Source organism: Homo sapiens, chromosome 8 (assembly GCF_000001405.40).
Source record: "Homo sapiens chromosome 8, GRCh38.p14 Primary Assembly".
Classification (NCBI taxonomy): domain Eukaryota; kingdom Metazoa; phylum Chordata; class Mammalia; order Primates; family Hominidae; genus Homo; species Homo sapiens.
In genome coordinates this window covers 91,327,665-91,343,080 of record NC_000008.11, presented here as the reverse complement: position 1 = coordinate 91,343,080, position 15,416 = coordinate 91,327,665, and the positions used below count along the sequence as shown (strand labels likewise).

Here is a 15,416-nt window from a genome sequence, read left to right as displayed (position 1 = left end):
CTCCATCTTTAGGTCACATCAGTCAGGTTTTTCTTCTCATCACTGCACAAATGACCTTCACAATGCTAAACCAATGATTCATTTTTGGCTTCCCTTGCCTAAAAGAGGCATTTGGCATAGTTGCTCATTTCTTCCTCCCTAAAGTCTCCTTCACTTGGCTTCTAGGATGTCCCTGATTTCCTCCTACCTCCCTGGCCATCACATTTTAATGCCTTTTGTGGTTCTTTCCCATCTAACCAATTGCAAATATTGGAGGACTGCTTCTCTTCTCTATCTACATATAAGCTACTCAAATACACATTGACAACTCTAAAATTTTTATCTACAACTTGGACCATTCTTCTGAATGTCAGACTGTATACCCAATCTGCTACTCAGTATCTCCCTCTGGATGGCTAACAGATATCTCCAACTTCCTAAATTGGGCTACAGCTTTCTACCACCCAACCTGGTTCTCCCATGTTCTTCCCTATTTGAAGTTCCAATTGCTTAGATTGAAAGCTTTAGGGTTATTCTTGATTTTTCTGCTCCTTCTTTTCCCGAATGGCACCCATATCCAATCCAGAATCCATATACTTCCATCTCATCCATCACTACATCATGGTCCAAGTCATCAAATATCACTTGGATTATTGCAAATTCCCCTTAACAGTATTTTTGCATCTGCTGTTTCTAGTAAGCACAACAAATATCCCTGCCCCATAGAGCTGTGGTGGTGGAAAGCAAATGCTGGCAATAAACAAGATAAATACAGAAAGCAAAACAGAGGAAAGCATGGGCAAATCTTGAGTTTAAGATTTTAGATTACCAAAGAAGGCCTCCCTGAGAAAGGAGCATTTGATAAAGAAGCTGGCTGAGCACGGTGGCTCATGCCTGCAATCCCAGCACTTTGGGAGGCAGAGGCGGGGGATCTCTTGAAGCCGGGAGTTTGAGACCAGCCTGAGCAACACAGCAAGACCCCCATGTTTAAAAAATGAAAAAAAAAAGTAGCCAGGCATGGTGGTGCATGCCTGAAGTCTCAGCTACTGGGGAGGCTAAGGCGGGAGGATGATTTGAGCCCAGGAGGTTGAGGCCGCAGTGAGCCATGATCATGCCACTCACTCCAGCCTGGCCAACAGAGTGAGGTTTGTCTCTAGAAAACAAAAATTAAAATAAATAAACAAATAAATGGAGGAGCTAAGCAGGTATTGGAGAGAACAGAATTCCCAGAAAGGGGAACAGCAAGTGCAAATATCCATAGCCAGAAGCATGACTAATGGGTTCAAGAAGAAGCAAGGTGGTGGTGTTAGCACAGAGTATAAAAGGGTATGAGACCAAAGAGGAAAAGGGTATTAGCAGGTTATGTAGAGCCTTATAAGCCATGAGAGAGGCTCTTACTCTGAGTGTGACCAGAAGCAACTGGGAAGTTTCGAGTAAAAGAAAGACATGGTCTGCATTGCTCACCATTTTATCACTTGTACCTAGACCAGTGCCTGCTATGTATTAGGGTTCAACATATATCTGTGGAATGAATAAATCTACTTTTGTGAAGATGAGAAAATTGGTGCACAGAGAAGATTAAGGTCACATAGTGTGAGAATGAGATTTACACACAGGTAGTTCGATATTCGTAAACCACGGCACTGCAACTTCTCTGCAGACCAGCACAGCTCTGTAGGACCATGACAGGACTTGAAACAGGACATATGCAATCGTGATAGACTGGATCAAGAAAATGTGGCACATATACACCATGGAATACTATGCAGCCATAAAAAATGATGAGTTCATGTCCTTTGTAGGGACATGGATGAAATTGGAAATCATCATTCTCAGTAAACTATCGCAAGAACAAAAAACCAAACACCGCATATTCTCACTCATAGGTGGGAATTGAACAATGAGATCACATGGACACAGGAAGCGGAATATCACACTCTGGGGACTGTTGTGGGGTGGGGGGAGGAGGGAGGGATAGCATTGGGAGATATACCTAACGCTAGATGACGAGTTAGTGGGTGTAGCGCACCAGCATGGCACATGTATACATATGTAACTAACCTGCACAATGTGCACATGTACCCTAAAACTTAAAAGTATAAAAAAAAAAAAAGAAACAGGACATATGCAAAAGTATTTTCAGAAATATGATCAGTATAATCTACATCCCTTGGTATTCTAAGAATAGACGCTCACATTCTTTAGTTTTTTTACTAAGAGTAATACTAATGTTATTTGTACTTAGAAATCCATAATTATTAAACATTAGCATGCAATAATAAATCTGTTTGGATTCTCTCCTAAAAACAAATCAAAAAGAACATCATGATGCCTTCTATTTTAACCAAAATAAAAAGCATTGTGAACAATCAATGTCAGGTTTTTAGCTTCCTATGAATGATTTTGATATTTTTCTTTTTTTTTGTTCAACCCACTCTTGCTGTACAGTTAGGAAAGTTTTATTTTTCATAAGTTCATCATTTTTAGGATCTGGGAGTGCACAGTGCAATGATACAACTGGAGTGGAGAGGGACTGGGGGCACACTCCACCTGGTTGTCATCAATTGAATATTTGAATTTTTTGGCAGATCCTTGAGCAAGAGCCAGTGAGGCCACATAGCCTACAAGTGCCACTCCGAAAGCTTCAGTGATCACCGCAGAGAGGATGTTCATCGGGGGAGCTCTAGGTGAGGGAATTCTGTGGAAAGAAGGACCATATTGAAGTCATCAAACTTCATGTAATTTCTGTAACAACTTGCAATGAATTTAACTGTGGCAATGACTCTGAAGTTTACATAGACTAAGTGAAATACCCATGAGAAAACCAAGCAGCCTTGCCCTTAGAAGCCCTTCGTTTTCAACATTATTTAGCAGAATAGCAAAATTACAAGGAACACCACAGGGACAGCTCCATGCATTTAACTGGCATTTACGCCCAGAGAATTCAGATTACACCACAGAAACTCTGACTCGACAGAAATTTCCTGTATCAGAACAAAAGCAAATCTGGAGCATTCTTTCATTCGAACCTTTCCAAATATTTATTTGGCTGGTGTTGAAGACTACATTTCCTCCTTTGAATACTACAGTGCTGTATGCAAACACTGGTTTACTGTGAGCTACAATTCTTGAGTTCATCCCTAAATTTGCCATTGAGTTCGTTATCTTAATTATGTTTTTAACTCAATCCTTTCACAGTACACTTAACTGTGCCTTACATCCATTAAGAAAAATATGTATAAAGGCTCCATCTAACTAACCCTCTGCTTCAAAATATAGGACCATAGTTGTTTTTCCATTTCAAAGAACTGTTCAAAATATTTCTCTCAAATAATACCCAGCCCTTGTCTAATTGTCTTTTGAAAACAACTTGAGCCAAAGTGTCATTATTTATTCATCCCTGATGATTCTTTGGGAGACTTACCCAAAAAATAAATTAAATAAATAAATAAATAAATAAATAAATAAATAAATCCCTCAGGCAGTAGAAGAAAACAGGAAGAGAATTCATGTTGATTTTTAAAACCCAGTATGTAAGTAGAATGCTTGGCCCTTTCATAATAGCTATTTTATTTAATTCTCCCAACAACCTCCAAACCAAGCATCATTATACCCACTGTATAGAGGAGAAAACATTTTGAGAAAGGTTAGGTAATTTATTTAACATCACAAGGTGAATGGCAGAGCTGGAATGCAATCTCAGCTCCACTTCTGTTCAAAGCCATGTTCTTGTTATAATTCCTTTAGCGGATGGGTCTGGAAAGGTCACTCAAAATAAAGGAGAATTAGAGGTGATAGAGGAGTGGCGTGACTTTTTTTTTTAACCCACCTCCTTAAGTTTACCATTAAGACAAATTGATTTGTATCATTACAGGTTATTATGCTACACAAAACCATTTCAAAGTAAAAGAACTTTGTTTCATGAAGACTGAGTGAACCTAATTACTAATAACAACAAATTGGCATAAAAGGAATAATAAGCTGACTTTCAAAGGTAGAAAAGCAGGAATCTTTGAGAAAATTCAATTTGATTCATATAATCAGCATTAGCCTATATCTATATGTGCTAAAGATAGGATTTTTAACATTCCCTTTTTAATTCCTGAGAATTTTTCTACTGTTTCTCCATTTTCATGTAATTAGAAACAAAAATTTGGGATTGGAAGATAAAAATTTATAGGATTCAACAATTGTAACTTTGCCCCAAATTTACAATTATCAGTGTACATGTAATGCAGCCCATTCAAAGTGAATAACCCATAAGACACTGTCCTCCTTCCCTCATATATTTTTATTTTCTTTCAGCCCATATGTGGTACGAACTTTTGCTCATTTTAGGGTGAACATCTCTTTTGTTAAACTCCTTCTTAGTGGCCAGAGGAAGGCTATAGGCCAGCTAGGGAACAATGCCTTCTTCTCCACTTCCACTCTCTCATTATTATATACTACCCAGGCCTAGGGTTTGCTATTTCAGATTATGCTTGTCTACTTTTACTATGATTTAAGTGAAATGAAAATAGTCATAGAATATGTGTGGTGGGGAAGAGATAGGGCTGACTAAATCCCAGATCATAACTCTCATTTGCAAAGTCAATGCCCTCTATTTTGTTAATAATATATTTGCAAATATTTCCCAAACCTTTTACCTGAAGCAATGCTGCATAAAGCAATTATCAACATCCTTAGTAAGAGGTGAAGTCTAGGAAGTTACTCTTTCTCTACACATGAAGTGTGTATTTCTATCATTTTGTAATAGAAATTAATTAGAATTAAGAAATGAAATATCCATACCCACTCACTCCCTGTCCCTTTCTCCATCAAAAATAAACAAACAAACAAATAATATGTTTTTAAAAAGGACTACATTACCCTTGTGGAATATGACCAACTACTTCTAATCCATATGTGTTTTCCATATTGGTGCAATAACAAGCAAATGATGCAGCAATAATCTGTGTGGTTCCATTTGAAAAAAGAAAAAATATATACATTACTGACCTCTCAAACACCTTAAAACAATTTTTAAAAGTAAACATTGTTCTCATGTCCCATAAACATCAAGAATAATCTAGCAGTTGCACAGACTTTCAAAAATAAATAAAATATTAAAAGTCAAAAAGTCCCTCAGTTTTGAGAGCACTGACAAGTCTCCAAATTAGATGACATCCCAATCATATGGCTTTTCTAATATCCTACCGTGGTCAACCCAATTATGTCCAATTTTGAAGAGGAAAAACTACAGGATACAGGAGTGTGTGTGTGCATGAAGACAGCACAATCCAACCTAAATACTTGCCTCCCATGATACAAAGGGATGCTTCGTAAGACAGCACATTTTCTCTCCATGACAGCAGCCTTTCAAGAGTTTGAGATATTGCATCGATATTCCTAATCCATGTTAGTAATCAATGATGATTTACAGTCTCCTTGAATATTTTCAAATTTTTAGCTTTTACTATTTCTTGTAGTGAAACATGCTGCTTCACAGCCTGCTGGGCTCAATGCTTTTAAAATGACCCCTATGGAGTTTCAGATACCCTATCCTTCTGTTACTGACATATGCTAAGCAAGGTTACATGTTCCCTGCCTATACCCATAATCATCTTTAACATACATATCAGAGCCCAGTTCACCAGCCACTGCATTCTACTGTTTTCCATCGATTTTCATTTTTCTGATAATTTTAATAGATATTAAAAATTTCACATGATTATGGTATCAGTTTGGAGTAATTCATCTTGTAAAAGAGGCACATCAATTATCCACTTAAAGTACAAATTTACAATATACATGGCCAGAAAAAAAGGATAACAAATTCAAACTAGCAAAATAAGGAATATCTAATAATCAATGGCCAATAATATAATTGTATAGGTTTTTTTCCCCTATTCCTGTTGTTCTCTTCTCTGTGATGATATTTAGCTGAATTTGCAGAGGTTTTATAAAACATCAAATAGGCTTAAAAAGCAAAACACCTGAAGACTTAAAGAAAAAGATAAAAAGGAACAAAAACCATAAAGGTGATATTGTTAAAATTTATAAATATTGTAATACGATAGTAGCATTTTCTAAAGAAACTAGTAGTAGCTAAAGATTCAGGCTATTAAGTTAGAATCAGACATATTAACATACTTAAAAATTCCTACGCCAATTAATAAATTATAATTGTTCATAATCATCATGAAACATCTATACTAGGTCAGAAAATATTGAGAGCTATAAAGAAAATATGCCATAGCTACTAGATACTGGATTCTTATTGAAAATGGAAGTATGCAGGGTATTTGATACACAGTTAATATTAAAATTAAGTGCTCTAACTCACTGAATTAGCCTTTCAGTGTTTTACCTCCTCCCTGTATTTCTTTACCAAAATTAAACTTTCCTTATCAGTTGAGTAATTGGTCCTTCTTCAATATTAATTCAATATGCGTGTATAAGGCCAATACTGCCCTTAGACCTGGGCAAGGGGGGGATTGCACCCCAGGTGTGACTAGTGCTTTAGAGCAGCAGTCCCCAACCTTTTTGGCACCGGGGATCAGCTTTGTGGAAGACAATTTTTTCACGAACAGGGTTGGGGGAGGAGGGGGGAGATGGTTTGGGGATGATGAAGCTGTTCCACCTCAGTCTATCAGGCACTAGATTATCATAAGAAGCACGCAACCTAGATTTCTCACGTGTGAAGTTCACAACAGGGTTCGTGTTCCTATGAGAATCTAATGCTGCCACTGATCTGACAGGAGGCAGAGCTCAGGCAATAATGCTCACCTTCTGCTGTGTGGCCAGGTTCCTAACAGACCATGAACTGGTACCAGTCCATGGCCCAGAGATTGAGGACCCCTGCTTCAGAGGGTTCTAATCTGGCTTCTTCCAACTGTAGACTTCCCCACAAGAAGGGAGCTCTGTGGGAGTAGGGGGTTTGTGCCCAACTCAAACCTGTACCCTTCTTTCTGAACCACACTCTGGATACTTAAGAATCTAACATTTCCTGCCCAAATGTCCTTCTGCCTGCTTGCAGGGCACCTTCTGGAAGTCCATCCTCCCAGGGTGGCTCAAGAAAGTTGGCAAAGAGACAGTCGTAGTGGTGATGGAGTGGCGATGTGTTTGGAGCCTGGAAGTGAGGACGGAGGTGTCCACACATACACATATGAATCCCCTGGCAGGTGGGATAGAGCTGGAAAGTGAAGAGAGGGAGCAGAGCAAGAGGCTGGGTCTCCCCACGCTGCCACATACTGGCAGAACATAAACGACTAGGAAAATTCTCTGTTCTAACCCGGCTTTTAAAGTCATCACTAAGGGATGTTTGTCAACATAAGAAAACAGAATCTGTTATATTTAACATTTTGATCTATAACTTGTAAGTATTTGGGCTTGCATTGGTACTTTTTCCTTGGGTCTTAGAAATGTTAGGGATAACACGTATAAAGAATACCTTTAATCTTATTGTAAGAATAATCGTAACTGGTTTTGCAGAGAATAAGCAACTGGTTTACTACCAGCTCAACAGCCTTCATCCCTAAGGCTATTTTCAATTTTTAGTTTTATGAAACATGCGATATAGCTTCCCAAGATATAATAAGTATTTCTTAATATCTACAGGACTTCAAGATAAGATGGTATGTTTCACAGTTGTTGCTGTGAAAACTAATAATCATAGTACTCTGTATTTTTATGGCTTATTTGAAATATACACACATACATATTATATAAATCACATATGTTATATAAATCTCAAATTATCAAGAGTATAGGATCATACATGGCCTAGTTATGGAGAGAAGCCTTTCTTATTAGTTGTATAGAAATGAGTCGTAGCCTTAATAGTCAATTGCAATGTGCTAGCCTTATAATTGTACATAAACCTACATAATTTCAACAATTAGAAGGAATATTTTATTAGATGAAGTTATTTAGACAACATTTATCATATACATGTATAACTCAAAGATCATTGAAAGACTAAAGCCAATTTTTAGTAAATTAGTAGACTGTGGTTATATGTTAAGATTTTATTTTCAACTTAATGCTTTGTATAGTTAAGAGTTCCTATTAGAGGTTCTTGAAATTTCAAAACATATTTTCTAATGCCACAAGCCTTAGGAGCAAAATGTAATGTATTGCTTTTCCAGGTACAACAAAAAAATATTTTAGAGAACCAACTTTGGCCAATGAAAATCATGAGCATCCTTTCAATGAAGCAAAATTAGGTAAGTAACAAAACCTTTCAATCATGAATGAACATTTATCAATTGATAATATTTCTATACATATCTTATAGGTGCCATATAAATAGGAAATGATACCATATTTTATTAATTTACAGAAGATCATGCCAGAGACATTTTGAGCCTCACCCTTATAAGTACCTCCTTATTTAAGATCTTAAGCTATATGTTCTCTTATTTATATAAACAATTATAAGCATATGAGAAATGTTTTATAAATTGAAAACATGTGTGCCTTCTTTTTTAAATTATTAACTCAAAATGTTTCCTGTTCTTACATTAATGTGTAGCCATGCAAATTAGCCCTGCTTTAATGAGAGACAGGAGTAGCTGAGGGTTACTACAGACAATATAGTAAGCATCTGCAGATCTCCCCAAGAACTGGAAAGCTTTGCATGGCAAAAAGCTAAATGTTGATTTTATACTTACCAAAACTAAATCTACAGGAAGAACAACTTTAATTTTCCTTTTAAACTGTTCATTCAGCTCTTTAACAAGAACAAGGACCACAATGCTCAGCAAGGATAAAAGCAATGCTTCCAGTCGCACAGACTTGATGTTTTCAAAAACATATGCATAAATCTACAGTAATGAGAAAAAATACAAACAAAATTCAGGGTCACCTATAATATACCAACATGAAAATATGGCCCCAATAAACTCAATGATGTTTTATAAAACTATCTTAATGGCTAGGGAGAGGAAAGATATAGGTAGGCGGGTAGTCAGTGCTAATGCTATGTATTTATTTACATCTACAAAATTTCTGTACCCTTGATTCTTTCATCAAACTCAGGTTTTGCACCTTCCTACATAAGAACACTGCTAAAGAGAATGACTCTTCTGGCTTCATCCCTGACACTCTGAGGGGCAGAGATGCTTAACTCATTATTTATATGCAGATTCATCATTAACAGCGGTCAGGGGACCATGGGTTCCCCAACTTTGGGGCCCTCCTCAAACCCCAGAAGCAAACAAGAACACAGATAGAACACACACAAAAGAGTTAAGAGCTGGCATTTAACTGACATCAGATATTTGGCTTCATATAAAATATTAACATGTTCTCAGTCATTCAGCATTAACTTACTTGTTTATTGTCACTTACTTTATACCAAGCACCATGCCCATTGCGAGGTCTACATAGTAAAAAATTGAGACGTTGCTCAGTATTCACAGAGCTCATGGTCTAGTGTAGGAATTGCTAAGTAAAACAATACATTAATGCAAGCAGTGCTATGGACATGGAAAGGGCACCTGAAGTATATGACTTAGGGTTTTGAGTGGTGGTGGGGTGGGTCCTTCTCAAAGAAGATAAATGGGAACTGGCCAGGTTATAGATGATAGAGGGGGTAAATGAAGAAACCTGGGAAAATGTTCTGCCTAAAGGGCATATTTGTAAAACTTACAGCATAAAATGTGAGGGGAGGGGTGCATGACTTCCTGAAAAGTATGGTCAAGAAATCAATACAACTATTTGTCTTTAAAAGTGTGCAGCCCTGCTTGAAGTTATACTTACCTCAAAGAATTTGCCTGAAACTAGGAAGAAAGTATAATACATTAATATCAAACACTCAATCTTGGTAATTTGGGATAATCTGATGTGGCAGAAAAGGTAGGATCAATGTAAGAGTAAAGTCAACCAAAAGAACAACATTAAAGCCCTTTTTAAAATCAAAGGCTATGTTTCAGTTAAGTGCCAATAACACTTTGTTCAACAACTTAGAATGTTGTTGATAGTTATGTAAGCATCTAAATCGACTAGCACAAAAAAGATAGGGTGAGATTTTAAAGAACCCTAAATTAGGTGCTGAAATATAATAACCAGCCAAATGCAATCCATCCTCTACATGAATGTTTGATATAAGGAAACTCACCTGGAATTTTGTTGTCTGGAAATTTAACATAGTGGTTCTCAAATTCATACAGAATATTAAATGCACAGAATATATTAGAAAATGTTGAAAGAAAATATGGGTTTATACTAACAAACATAAAAGTATATTTATAATAAGTCAAAACATGTTACTAATAATAAAATATATAAGAAAAAGCTGGGTGTGGTGGCTCACCACCCAGAACTGTGGGAAGCTGAGGCAGAAGGATCGCTTGAAGCCAGCAGTTTGAAACCAGCCTGGGCAATACAGCAAGACTCTTTCCCTATGAAAAATTTAAAAAATTAGCTGGGTATGGTGGCATGCACCTGCAGTCCTAGCTACTCAAGAGACTGCTGGCGGTGGGGAATCCCTTAAGCCCAGGAGTTCTAGGTTACAGTGAGCTATGATTGCACCACTACACTCCAGCCTGGGCAACAGAAAGAGATCCTGTCTCTAGCTTAAATATGTGTGTGTGTGTGTGTGTGTGTGTGTGTGTGTGTGTGTGTGTATTAAATATATATACAGAATATATATTTAATTTATATATTCAATATATATTAATTAAATATATATTGATTAAATATATATTGAATAATTAAATATAATATATTTTTAAATTATTATATAATTTTATATATAATTATAAATTTATATATATTATATATAATATATAAATTATATAATTATATAATTTATCTATATAATTATACATTTATAATTTATAACTATATATAATTATAAATTTAATATATAATTAAATATTAATTAAATATATATTGAATATATATAGAAAGAGGTAGGGTCTCTAACTTAAAAACATATTATATATATATGTGTGTGTATATATATATATATGAAAAATTTAAAACAGTAAGAACCCAGAAATATAACAGTTGCATTATCCAATATTAAAGATTATCCAATATATCATGTTTGAACAAAAACTAAGCAGAACAAAATAAATTCTAGATCAAAAGAGGTTAAATATAAAACCTGAAGTCATAGAAAATAAATATTTTAAAATTAGCAGAGGACATAAACAGATAACAGAAGAAATACAAATGGTCAATAAACATATGAACAAAGAGCTCAATTACACTATTAATCAAAGAGATGTAAATTCAAACTATAAGAAAGCATTCTTTCTTTTATCAAATTATTAGTGATGCTTAAATAATAATTTAAATAGTCTAATCTGGGGGAAGTAATGGGAACTCTTTTACATGCCCTTGTGAGTATAAATTGTTGCAATACTTTGGTGATCTGATAAAATGTATGGAAAACCTTTGAAGGCAATAGATATGTTAATTAGCTTGAGTTTGGAAATCATTTCACAATGTGTATATATATATCAAAACATCACATTGTACATTTTGAATATATACAATTTTTATGTGGCAATTATATCTCAATAAAGCTGAAAAATAAACACTTTTGAACTGCTCTATTGTTTGCCTTAGCAATTCTACTTCAAAACATTAAGCTAGGAACATAATTAAGCTCGTGTGAAAAGACCTTGTTACAAAGATATTCACTGAAACATTGTTTAAAACAGCATTGAAAATGGAATCCATTTAAAGAGTAAAATAAAAGAGAACTGGTTGAATTCTCTAGGTTACATGTATACATATAGTAGTCTACATCCATTAAATTCATTATTTTAGACAAAATGTACATTTATTGACATGGAAAGACCTTCCTGTTATAATGCTAAGTCGGAAAAGAAAAGTTTCAGATAAATGCATATGGTTTGACATTGTTATGGGCTCAGTTGTGTGGCCCCCTCTGAGTTCATATGTTGAAGTCCTAACCCCCAGTGCCTCAGAATGTGACTATACTGGAGACAGGGCCTTTAAAGAGGTGATTAAGGTAAAATGAGATCATATGGGTGGGCCCTAATCCAAAATGACTGAGAAGAGATTAGAACACAGACATGCACCTTGTACAGGAGAAATACCATGTCAGGACACAAGGAGAAGGCCACCATCTGCAAGCCAAGGAGAGAGGCTTTAAGAAGAGACCAAAACTGCCATCACCTTGATCTAGACTTCTTGATTACAGTCTCCAGGACTGTAAGAAATAAAGTTCTGTTGTTTAAACCACCCAGTCTGTGATATTTGTTTTGAAAGCCCTAGAAAGCTAATTTAGATATTACTTTTGATGAAATAAAATTTCATGCTTCTATATATGTATGAATGTATCTGGAATGTTAACAGCTCTGCATAAGAGCTTATTTGTATCTTCCATGTTTTCTCTTATGAAAATATATCACTTTGATAACTTTAGGGTTTTGAATTGTCCTTATATGATTATTTCCAAAATGTCTCTTAACTTCTCCTTCTCTTGAACATGCTGAATCCAGTTTTTATAACCTCATTTCTATTTGTCCACAGCGGATTGCTCAAGTCTAGTTTCAGGTGATAAAGATTAGTTTTATTCTGGCACACAGGCTATTCTTATAGTAGCCTAACTTTTTGTGTTCTTTGTCCTTTCTATTTAGCATCTTAAATATAATTTGACCACAACTCAAAATATTGAGTCAAAACATTATATAGACAATGGATCAAAAGAATTTATATGGACTATATTTCTTAGAATATCATAAAATTCTGCTTAGTAGGTTTCCTCATCAAAGGACTCAGCCCATCTGGCCCAAGGATCAAATGCACCTGGTATAAAGGCAGTGCATCAGGTTGAGCCTGAATTCTGCATATTGAATTTTATCATTAACATGTTAAATCTTTTGAGCAAAGAAAATGTACTCAATTAAGTGGAGCCTCACTGGGTGAAAAGAATTAGCATAACGCAGGCTATCCAGACCCCCTTTTATCCATACAGTTAAAATGACAATAACAAAAGAACCCACTAGTTATGTAATCAGATACATTAATAAACGTATTAGGGGTCAGGTAGCTTTGCTTTTTATCTTTTTCACATAATTCTATTTTATTCCATGCTACTTCAAAAGAAAAGTAGGTACTACAATGTCATCATTATCTTAGATGCAGATGACATTTTTCCTCTCTGTCTCTATGTTGTGGATGATAACTGTTCACAGGATTTCTCTAGAAGGAACAGGGTTCATTGCTTAAAGTTGCCCACTACTCAATCAATCCCAGGATAAAAATCCAAAATGCTACTCAGTGAGAAATATTCTACAGGGAAAGGGGATAGAGACGATGTAAAATAACAAATTGTCCAAATGCTTTCTGATGATTTTTCATGATCTCAGGATAAAATTGAGAATATTATTTAGATGATCTGTCAGGAAGAAGACAAATATCCAAGTATTTTAAAGCATTTAGAGAATATCTTTTCTGCTGTTTTATGTGGTATTAAAAGTATGCCATGACAATGTCTGTATAAGAAAGAGTAGAAATATGCAAAACTTCCAAGCCATACCAAATTTGCTGTAGTGTGCATTTTGAGAACATGTGTTTGCAGTAATAAAAATGACCACCCCAGAATGAATGGAATGAGAAAACCCCCCAGGGTTTTTATTGTCTGTCTGGATTAAACTATAGCTCATTAAGCAAAGCACATCTCACAAGATGCTCCAGAAGAACAAGGGGGTGGATAGCTCATTACAACCAGCATGAAGAACAGAATAGGAAAGGAGGCTGGTGAGGAATGTCATTCTAATGACTGTCATGTGGACCCACAGAGAGAATCACAGGCTAAAACAGGCTCATGATACATGGGTGGCATATGGAAAAAGAGACAGGAATGGGGCTAAGGATAGACATGCACACATGCACACACACATATTTACATATGCTTATTTAATAGAGTTCCAGGCATCCTAAGCACATATTAAATTTCTAATTTCTGGTATAAATCCAGTCATCTGAATACACTATCATGCACTAAGCTCCAGTAGATAAAAATTCCTATTGAGGATCAGCATTTTCTCCCCAGATCTCAGAGAAGCAAAGATAATATTTATATCTGTATGGATAAATAAGTAAGCTATCTAACCAGAACTGCCTAGTCAGTTTAATAAAACTGTAATATTAGTTCATTATATATTGAGAGTTCAGCTCATTTTGAGACTGTAATATTGGTTGTTTAAATTTACCATTTATTATAATGATATAAAATGAAAAATATCAATATGCATAAACAATCCATCTTGAGGTAAATCACCTATCCACAGCACATGTACTGCTTCTCATTATTTTCTTTAGATGTGAGGCTTTTTTCTAAAGTACTTCACAGACATTTACACACACACATACACACACATATACAATATATTTATATAATGTGTTTTTGTCTAATTTGCCTTTCTTTATAAGCTTTTATTTTCACTGATAGATTCTCAACTTCTAGAATGGTGTCTGGGAAAAAAGTAGATACTCAATAAATTTTGTTGAATGAATGAATACTTGGGTCTAGCATAGTAATAGTAACAATAAGTCTGTAAGTAGGCATAGATTTTACCTTGAATAAGTAGAATAGCAAGAAGAGAAAGGATCCAGACTCTTCTCACTACCAATACTTGGACTATATCATATTAGGGGGATTTGCAGTTATCAAGTTTCATTTATTCAACTTGTTTATTGAGGTTATATTATGTGCAAGGCATTGAGCCAAATATTAAAGCTACCATTGCAGTAATTTTAAGTAATCCATCTTTGATATAGTCAAATTTTAATTTTATAAAAATGAAGCAACATCAAGGCTGAAAAAGTTTAGTATTTAGTGAAGAAAAGATAAATAAAGATCTCTCTGGGACCATAGCTATTGAATTCTCATTGCACAACTGCCGTGAATTTCTAAAAAAGGCACTGTAAAGAAATACCTATGCAGGAAGAAAAATCCAAAGTTTATCCACTCTTAAATTTCATAACACAAATAGAAAGATCTTATATGTTTAGAAAATATTAACAAGTATTAAAAATTAAATAAACTTTCTGCTCAATACTTTATTAACCAGAAAATTCTATTAATCAAAACATTACTTTCCTCTGCATTCTGGTTGGTTTAGGTTTTGTTGTAATAAAATATACATGAGAAAAAATGATTTAAACATTTTTAGAGCATAATGATATTATTGATAATAATTCTTCACTAGTAATGATGAATACATCTTTGAATTATCCATAAAGGGACCACAAAGATTATTTGAATAAATATTTCTACACTAAAAACAACACATAACCCTTTAGTAGCATTTTTTATCATTCCTGCACTATCTTGGCTCTAAAGATCTGTGATAAATAAGTTAGTGTTTGACTAGAGAAACAACAGAGCATTAGTAAAATTAGCACACTGTAATAAATCTATCAGCACACTATTTTAATAGTAGGTATAAACTACTAATCTGCAATCT

The 15,416-nt window shown here is 35.0% G+C and overlaps 1 protein-coding gene across 4 annotated transcripts in view; it reads right to left on the bottom strand.

The window, feature by feature from the left end:
• Positions 1–15,416, bottom strand: part of SLC26A7 (solute carrier family 26 member 7) — a 188,660-nt gene that overhangs the window by 55,075 nt on the left and 118,169 nt on the right. For 3 of the 4 annotated variants that reach the window (NM_001282356.2, NM_052832.4, NM_134266.2), the window contains 3 exons: positions 8,634–8,786; positions 4,849–4,931; positions 2,530–2,677 (listed from right to left, as the gene is read on the bottom strand). In NM_001282356.2, the coding sequence (NP_001269285.1) occupies positions 2,530–2,677; positions 4,849–4,931; positions 8,634–8,786 (384 nt within the window). The remainder of the gene's footprint in view (positions 1–2,529; positions 2,678–4,848; positions 4,932–8,633; positions 8,787–15,416) is intronic. The other variant, NM_001282357.2, reaches the window with a different exon arrangement.